The sequence below is a fragment of the Homo sapiens genome, chromosome 5 (genome assembly GCF_000001405.40).
Source record: "Homo sapiens chromosome 5, GRCh38.p14 Primary Assembly".
In the NCBI taxonomy this organism is placed as follows: domain Eukaryota; kingdom Metazoa; phylum Chordata; class Mammalia; order Primates; family Hominidae; genus Homo; species Homo sapiens.
Window position 1 is genome coordinate 2,785,176 of NC_000005.10, and position 9,867 is coordinate 2,795,042.

The 9,867-nt window shown below is 34.9% G+C and overlaps 1 pseudogene; it reads right to left on the minus strand.

Annotated features, from left to right (window-relative positions):
- Positions 1 to 2,075: 2,075 nt before the first annotated feature.
- LOC100130748 (3-hydroxyisobutyryl-Coenzyme A hydrolase pseudogene) lies at positions 2,076 to 3,433 on the minus strand (annotated as a pseudogene).

The following is a 9,867-nucleotide window of genomic DNA, read 5'->3' on the forward strand; positions in this document are numbered from 1 at the left end:
GAGTCAACCAAATTGTGAATGTAAAGAAAACAGTTTTGAGGGCAATTAAAAGTGCTACCTTAGTGAAAACAAGAATTTTGAGTGAAACAGGCATATTGTTGATAGGGAGGAAGTTTAAATGCTCTAGATAGAAGATCAAACCATACACAACATTCCCTTAAGCCAAAACCCAATGCAGAGAAAGGCCTTAACTCTCTTCAATTCTATGAAGCTTGAGAGAGGGGAGGAAACTGCAAAAAAAAAAAAAAATAGTTAGGAGCTAGCAGAGGTGGTTTCATGAGGTTTAAGGAAAAAAGACATCTTCATAACATGAAAGTATCAAGGTGAAGCAGAAAGTGCTGATGGAGAAGCTGCAGCAAGTTATCTGGAAGATCTACCTAAGATTGTTCATGAAGGTCACTACACTAAACAACAGATTTTCAGTGTAGATGAAACAGCCTTCTATTGGAAGAAGATGCCATCTAGGGCTTTCATACCTTGAGAGGAGAAGTCAGTGCCTGGCTTCCAAGCTTCAAAGGGCAGGCTGACTCTCTTGTTAGGAGCTGGTGCAGCTGGTGACTTTCAGTTGAAACCAATGCTCATTTAACATTCTGAAAGTCGTAGAGCCATTAAGAATGATGCTAAATCTACTCTGCCTACGTTTTATAGATGAAACAACAAAGCCTGGATGATAGCACATCTGTTTACAGCATGGTTTCCTGAATATTTTAAGCCCATTGTTGAGACCTACTTCTCAGAAAAAAATATCTCTTCCAAAATACTACTGCTCATTGACAACTCACCTGGTTTTTATGCAAGAGCTCTGATGCAGATGTACAATGAGATGAATGTTTTCATGTCTATTAGCAGACCTATTCTGCAGCCCAAGGATCAAGGAGTCATTTTGACTTTCAAGTCTTAATATTTGAGAATACATTCTGTAGGGCCCTAGCTGCCACAGACAGTGATTCCACTTGAAGAATCTGGGCAAAATAAATTGAAAATCTTCTGGAAACAATTCACCATATTAGATGCCACTAAGAACATTCATGATTTGTAGGAGGAGGTCAAAATATCAGCATTAACAGGAGCTTAGCAAGAAGTTTATTACCACTTTCATGGATGACTTTGAAGGCATCAAGACTTCAGTGGAGGAAGTAACTGCAGATGTGGTGGAAACAGCAAGATAACTAGAATTAGAAGTGGAGTCTGAAGATGGAACTGGATTGATGCAATCTCATGAGAGAACACATGAGGAATTCCTTCTTATGGATGAGCAACGAAAGTGGTTTCTTGAGATGCAATATCTTCCTGGTGAAGATGCTGTGTGTTCATTGTTGAAATAACAAAGGATTTAGAAATTACCTAAACTTAGTTGATAAAGCAGCAGAGAGGAAACACTCCAATTTTGAAGGAAGTTCTACTGTGGGTAAAATGCTATCAAATGGCATTACATACTACATAGAAATCTTTCATGAAAGGAAGATATAATCAAAGGGGTAAACTCAATTCTTGTATTATTTTAAGAAATTGCTACAGTGACCTCAACTTTCAGCAACCACCACTCTGATCAATCAGCTGCCACTGACATTGAGGCAAGACAATCCACCAGCAAAAAGATGAGGACTCCTTGAGGGCTCAGATCATCCTTAGCTTTTTTTACCAATAAAATATTTTAAATTAAGTTATGCTCACCGCTTTTTAGACATAATGCTATTGCACACTTAATAGACTACAGTAAAGGATAAATATAACTTTTTTTTTTTTGAGACGGAGTCTTGCTTTTTTGCCCAGGCTGGAGGGCAGTGGCACAATCTCGGCTTACATGAAGCTCCACTTCCTAGGTTCATGCCATTCTCCTGCCTCAGCCTCCTCAGTAGCTGGGATTACAGACACCTGCCACCACACCTGGCTAATTTTTTTTGTATTTTTAGTTGAGACGAGGTTTCACTGTGTTAGCCAGTAGGGTCTCGATCTCCTGACCTCGTGATCCACCCGCCTCGGCCTCCCAAAGTGCTGGGATTACAGGCATGAGCCACCGCACCTGGCCAGGATTAATATAACTTTTTTATAACTAGTTCCAATAAAGCTTTATTTGTGAACTCTGATACTTCATATAATTTTTACTTCATTAAATATTAGTCTTTGATTTCTTTTCCCAACCATTTAAAAATGCAGAAACCATTCTTAGCTTGTAGTGCATATAAAAGTAGGCAGCAGGCTGGATTTGGCCTGCGTGCTGCAGATTGCCAACCCATGCTACAGAATATACCCTGAAAGCCTGTCACCTCAAAATTTCAAATCATTGCTTCCCAAAGACTTAAAGTGATTATTCAAATCTTCATCAGTAACTTCTTTTAGATCAGCTGGTTTCCATTTTGGACTCTGGTCTTTATTAATTAAAACAGCTCTGACACCTTCATAAAAGTCATGACCCTCCATACAAGCTTGACTTAGCTGATACTCCATAGTTAGTACTTCTTGCAAGGTCTTTCAAGACCCCTCCAGGAGTTACCTTAGTGTGATCTTTAGAGATGTTGGAGACATGTTATTAATTACCTTCAATTGCTCTAGGGCAAAAGATGAACAATCTTGCTGTAAGTTTTCAATAATTTGTCCCACAGTATTGGCTGAAAAGCAACTGTTTATTTTGCCCATGTGTTCCTCAAGTATAAAAGACTTGTCTTCATCAATCTTAGACTCCATATGGTAATTTTCTAAGACAGCTGCAATATTTTCTTTTGAAGGAGATTTCAAGGCTAACAAATCTTCCTCTAACATGCCCAACTTTTCAGAATCTACAAAGTGTGTAGCAATTCCTGCTCTGTACATATCATTTCATTTTAGTCTGAATCCTGTTAATGCAAGGATGTAACCAAGTTTTCCTTGAAGTCATGGCAAGAAATAACCTCCACCCACATCAGGGAACAGCCCTACTGCGGTTTCTGGCATGGCAAAAAGACACTTTTCTGTAGCCACTTGAAGCTGCCCATGGACTGACGACCAACTCTCCCACCCATTGTAATTCCATGAATAAGTGCAACATAAGGTTTCTGGCAAGAACCAAAAGCATTGTTCAGCATATATTCTTCTCTGAAGAAAACTGGCGCTATCTTCCGTTTTGCCTTTTCAGCCTCCGAGATGACTCTAATATCACTCCCATCACAGAAAGCCTTTCCTCCGGCTCCCTTTATAATGATCAGGAGAGTTTCAGGATCTTCTTCCCACTTCTCTAGCCATGGATACATCTGCACACGTTTCTTTCCCCCCCCCCAATAGCACGTCTTCTGCTGCATCTGTGTGCTTGGACATTCTCAAATGGTGCAGTATGGTATTAATCCTTTTGAATGCATTAAACCTCGACATGAGCCTCCCCACCTCCTGCTGCCCCATCGCCAAACACTCCGGAGCTAAAGCAGCAGAGCAAGAGGCACCCGGATGGTTCCAGCACCTCCAAATACAGCTTTTTATATGCATTGGGAAAACAAAAAATTTGTGTGACTCGATTTATTACAGTGGTCTGGAACCCAGCCCTCATCTCTGAAGTATGCCTGTATATACACGCATGTGTATCTATAAACATGTAAATCCTATGTAAACATACGTGTGCACCTATAGATGTGTAAGTCCTGCATCCGCAGGTATGTGCACCTGTAGACATGTAAGGCATATATATACATATATACATGTCAGCTGTGAGAGCAGACTTCACTAATTGCTAATGAACAGAACATGTCAGAAATGATGGAATGTCACTTCCAACATTAAGTATTAAAAGATTCTGACTTTCCATTTTGAGTCTCCTTTCTTTCTCATTATCCTCCAATCACTGATCTGGGGAAAACCAGCTGCCAAGGTTTCCCTGAGACCAGCGACCTGGAGATCGTGAGGCCGCCTTGTGCACAAGCTCATGTGGGGAGAGTGAGGCTGGTCAACAGCCAGGTGAGTGGGCTTGGAAGCCAGTCACTGCCCCTGTTGAACACTTAAAACAAATCCTCTAATTGTGCAAGTTCAATATTGAAAGGCAAATTAGACCTAGCTTATTACATATAGGTATTCAACTTTTCTACTTTCTTTCTATTTAATCTGTTAGTTTCTGAATTTTAAGTTACTGTCTCTTACAATGACTGAGAATTTTCTACTTTTTGTACATTGTGTGTTTTAAGCTGTTATGTGCAAAAAAGTTTATGACTGACATGTCTTCTTAATGCATTATTCCCTTTATTATATAAATAACCAATTTAATCCCCCTTGTTATTTTCACCCCGACTTCTAATTTATTTTCTGTCAATGCCTCCAGTTGCTAGCTTTTTATTAGCATTTGATTGGCATCCATTTCCCATCCAATTCTTTTCAACTTCCATATGAAAGTTGTGCCTTGGTGCGTCTCTTCTGTTGGTGCAGAATTGGATTTTTTTAACCCAATTTGTAAGGTTCTCTCTTTTGCTACATGAACAGAACTCATATTTATTACAAGTACTGATCTGTTTCACTTTTCTTTTCTGCCAAATAATTTATTTCTAGATATTATATTTGCCATTTTATTTTTTCCTCATAAATGCCATTGTTTTTAATTGATCATGTTTTCTCAGTTACTTTCCAACCTCTCTCTAATGATATTCAAAAACACAATTTTTTTTCAAGCATCATTATTAAGGCATAATTTTCAATGTGGTGATTTAGTGGGGCTGTTGAGTAAAATTGCTATGAACATTCATGTGCAAGCGTTTGTTGGATTATGTTTTCATTTATCTTACGCAAATACCTAGGCACACAAGCACCATGCCATATGCTAAGTGAATGTTCGACTTTGTAAGAAACTTCCAAACTGCTTGCCAAAGGCCTGTCTCACTTGACATTTCCACCAGTGAGGTGTAACATTCATACCAACACTTGCTACTTGCTATTTTTCAGCTTTTTAACTTTTGCTAATCTAGTGGTTTTGTGCTTATATCTTCTTGAGATTTTAATTTGCTTTTCTCTGATAACATGGCAAACATTTTTCTCATGTGCTTACTGATCATTTATATATCTTTTGTTTATAAATGACATTTTGAAATACTTGCCAACATTTTGAAAAAACCTGGTTTTTCAATATATTCTTATTATTAAGTTGTAAGAGTTCTTTATATATTTTGGGTACAGAACCTTGGTCTGAAACATGTATTATGAATATTTCCCCCAATATATGGCTTACCTTTTCATTTAAAAAAAAAGTCTAAGAACAGAAGCTTTCTAATTTAAGTTTAAATGATCAGTTTTTTCAAAAAATATGGGGTTTAGCTTTTTGCATGATATGCAGGAAATTTGTGCTAGCCTCTATGTCACAAAAATAAGATTTTCTCCTTATTTCTTCCAGGAGTTTTGTAGTTTATAATTTTAGATTTAGGACTATGACCCATTTCAAGTTTTTTTGCATGTGTTTGACAGGTGCTGTTTTGTTTGTTTTGCTTTTGTTGTTTTTGTACTTTAGCTGATATCCAGTTGTCCTAGTACTATTTGTTAAAAAGATTATCTTTTCCCCATTAACTTGACTGGAAAATCAACTGAACCTTTAAGAGCACATGGATTTGTAGGCTATTAACTTTATTCCATGGATCTGCATGTGTCTTTCAAAGTGGATACCACATTGACTTTGTTACTGGGGCAGACGTGGAAGTCAGCTGGTGCAAGTTCTTCAGCTTTTCCCTAGCTGTGCTGGCTCTTCCAGATTATCTGCATTTTCATAGAAGTTTTAGAAAAATCTGGTCATTTTCTACTAAAATGTCTGTTGGGATTTTGATTTCAATGACTCTATTGATTAACTGGGGGAAAATTGATATCACAATATTGAGTCTTCCCATCAATGAATATTATATTTCTTCCCATTTATTTAGATTTATTTAATTTCTCCCAGAAATATTCTGTAGTTTAGCATATAATATGGCACATATTTATTCCTACATAGTTAAGGTTTCGATGCTATTGATAATGGATATTTTAAAAAATTCATTTTCCAATTGCTCATTGCTAGCATAGAGAAATATAATTATTATATATTGACCTTTTATTATCTGACCTTGCTAAATTAGTCAATTAATTCTAGCAGCTTTCGTAGATTTTTTAGAATTTCCTACATCCAGATATTATGTTATTTACAAATAAAGGCAATTTTATTTCTTTCTTTGCAATGTGTATGACTTTTGCTTCTTTTTCTTGCCTTATTGCACTGGGTAGAAGCCCCAGGACAATGCTTAGTAGAAGTGGTGGGAGCAGACGTTGCCTTGCTCCTGATTATAGGGAGGGAAGTATTGTTTTTCATCATTAAATGTTGTTAATTGTGGACTGAGTGTATATGTTCTTTATGGATTGAGGATGTCCGTTTCTCCCCTGATTTTGTTGAGAGCTTGATTTTTGATGAATGCTTTTCTTTTATTTCTTCCATAAATTCAGGTAATCGTGTAGTTTTCCTTCTTTATTTTGTTAACATGGTGAATCATGTTAATGAATTTTTTAATGTTAATGAATCCCGAATTTTTGGGATGAGCTCCACTTGGTCACAATATATTTTATTTTTATTGCTAGGTTTAATTTGCTAATATTTTATAAAAGAATTTGTATATTCAATGATAGATATTGTTCTGTATGTTTCTTGAGATATTTTTGTCTGGTTTTGGTAATTTGGTATCAAGGTAGTTTGGCCTCATAAAATAAATTAGGAAACTTCTCTATTTTCTAAAAAGAGAATGTGTATTATTATTTATTCCTTAAATGATGGATAGAATTTACTACTGAAGTCATATGAGCCTGGAGTTTTCTTTGTAGGAAGGTTTAAAAAAATTTTTTTTTAGATAGATACAGAGCTATTCAGATTTTCTATTTTTTTCTTATGTGTGGTATCTTTAAAAAATTTCTCCACTTTATCTAAGTAGTTGAATATATTTGTGTAAGTCTATTTCTTTATAATCCTTCCTTATAACCTTTTTATGACTCTAGGGTCTGTAGTGGTATGTATTAATTGACTCTTGATACTGGCAATTTATATCTGTTCTTCTCTTTTTCTTGTTCAGTCAACTGAAAGTATATAAATTTTGTTGATCCTTTCAAAGAATGACCTTTTGATTTTATTGTTTTTCCATTTTTATTTTATTAATGTCAGATCTGATCTTTATTATTTTCTCCTCTTATTTTGAGTTTGCTTTGATATTCATTTTATCAGTATCTTAAGGTAGAGGTTTAGACTACCGAATTTAGACTTTTCCCATTTTTCAAAAAAAGCATGTAATGCTATACATTTTGTTGTAAGAACTGCTTTAGCTGAAGCCTGCAAAGTTTTACATGTTGCATTTTTAGTTTTCATTTCATTCAGTTTAAAATATTGCTGTCATCTTCAATTCATTGGGTTATTTAAACATATTTTATGCTGGGCACAGTGGTTCATTCCTATAATCCCAGCACTTTGGGAGACAAAGGTGGGCAGATTGCTTGAGCCCAGGAGTTTGAGACCAGCCTGGGCAACATGGCAAAATCTTGTCTCTACAAAACATACAAAAATTAGCCAGGTGTGATGGCATGTACATGTAGTCCCAGCTACTCAGGAAGCTGAGGCAGGAGGATCCCTTGAACCCAGGAGGGTGAGGTTTCAGTAAGCCAAGATTGTGCCACTTGCCTGGGGACAGAGCAAGACCCTGTCTCAAAAATACAAAACGAAACATATTTTGCTTAATTTCCAAATACTTAGGAATTTCAAAAATATCTTCTTATTATTTATTTCTAATTTAATGCCATCATGTCAGATAATGTATTCTGTATAATTTCAGTCCTCTTAAACTTATTGAAACTTATGTAATGCCCTATTATTTGGTTTACATTGGAGAAGGCTCCAGGTTCACTTGAGAAGGTATGAATTCTGCCATTGTATGGTGGAGATTCTATAAAGGTCAACTTATTTGAGTTGGTCGATGGTGTTGTTTAGGTCTTCTATGTACTTGCTGATTTTCTCTCCACTTGTTATATTAGTTGCTAAGAGAGGAGTGCTAATATTACCAACTCTACTCATGAAAGTATCTATTTCTTTTTTCACTCTAGAAATTGTATGCCTCATGATTTTAACACACATATTATTAAGTACATACAAACTTAGGATGAGTATATCTTCTTGTTAAATTGACTTTTTTGTTATAATAAAATATATTCTGTATGTCTTTCTATATATTGTAGTATTTCTTGTCCTAAAGCCTACTTCGTCTGATACTGAGATAGTCACTTCAGCTTTCTTATGATTAGTTTTTGCATTTTATCCTCCTTTCTGTCATTTTATTTTAACCTGGTTCTGTCTTTATATTTAAAGCTTATTTCTTACAGATAGGATATATTGGAGTATTGCTTTTTTATCATCTAATAATCTCTTCTGTTCAATTAATGTTTTTACATCATTTATATTTAGTGTAACTATTATTATGATTTGATTTAAATCAGCCTGTTACTATTTGTCCCATCTGTTTTTTACTACTTTGTCTTTATTTTTTTTGCCTTTTTCTATATTGAGATTATAAAATTATTCCAATTTATCAGAATTATCATCTTACTAGTTGTACCTCTTTATAATTATATATAATTTTAGTGCTGTCTAGTGTTTACAACATGAAACTTTAACTGAGTGAAGTACACCTTTAAATGTTATATCTCTATGTATATAATGCAAGACCTTTATAAGGGTGTGATTCCATTTCCCATTGTCGTATATCTTATTTATACATATAAACCTCATAATATAGTATTACTTTTTGCTTTAAATGATCAGTTATTTCTAAAAATTTCAAAAATGGAAAAAATAACCTTAATACTTATTTGCGCATTTACCATTTTGGAGGCTCTTTATTTATTTTTATAGATCCAAATTCTGAGCTGGTTTTGCTTAATTTCAGCATAAAGTTGTGGGTTTTTTTTTTCCTACTAACGTTGTTGTTCATATCTATGGTGATAATTGGATTTCTTTACTCAAAAAAAATGTTTGCCTTATGTTTGACAAATATATCCCTGGACATAGAACTACAGGTTGACTTTTTTTTTTCTTTGCTGCACTTTATAGATTGTTTTCATTGTCTTCTGGCTTTCATTGTTTCTCTTAGGCAATGTGTAATTATTATTATCTTAGTCTCCCCTGTTCATGTTTTCTCACCCTCTAATCCCTGGCTGCTTGCAGGGTTTTCTTTGTACTTATTTGACTGGGCTTTAGTGAGTTTATTCTACCTGTGTGTTCATAGTTTTCATCAGTTTGGAAAAATACTAACCATTATTTATTCAAGTGTATTTCTGACCTCTTTTCTGTTTCAGGGACTCCAGATATACTTCTATTAGATTGTTTAATGTTTTCCCATAGGTCCCTGAGGCTCTAGTGTTTTTCCTCCATCTCTGTGCTTTTTTTTGAGGGGATATGATGCGTTTTTTATATATTTAAGTTCTCTGATTTGTCTTCTGCAATGTATAGCTCTATTTATTTTTGATGGTTGCATTGTATTCTATTTCATGAAAATAGAATATCATAATTTACTCATCCATTTTTCTAATTAAGGGCACTACATTATTTCCAGTTTCTTGCCATTTGCAATAGTCCTGCAACAAATATCATTGTACATATGTTTTTACTTAATTTATTTCTATGAGATAGAGTTCTAGGTCTGGGATCTTTGGGCGAAAGGAATATTTATTTAATTTTAAACTTATTTACCCTTCCAAACTTCTTCACTTTTCAAATCTTCTGACTCAAACATTTCTAGTTGCTCATATACATATAATTTACACAAAATAATTAATGTGATAATTTTATATATTTTATTTTAGTGCAGTCATTTCTTTCCTTTTTCATCTTTGCTTTGCTATCATCTCCCCTTTTCTCTGCCCTCCAAG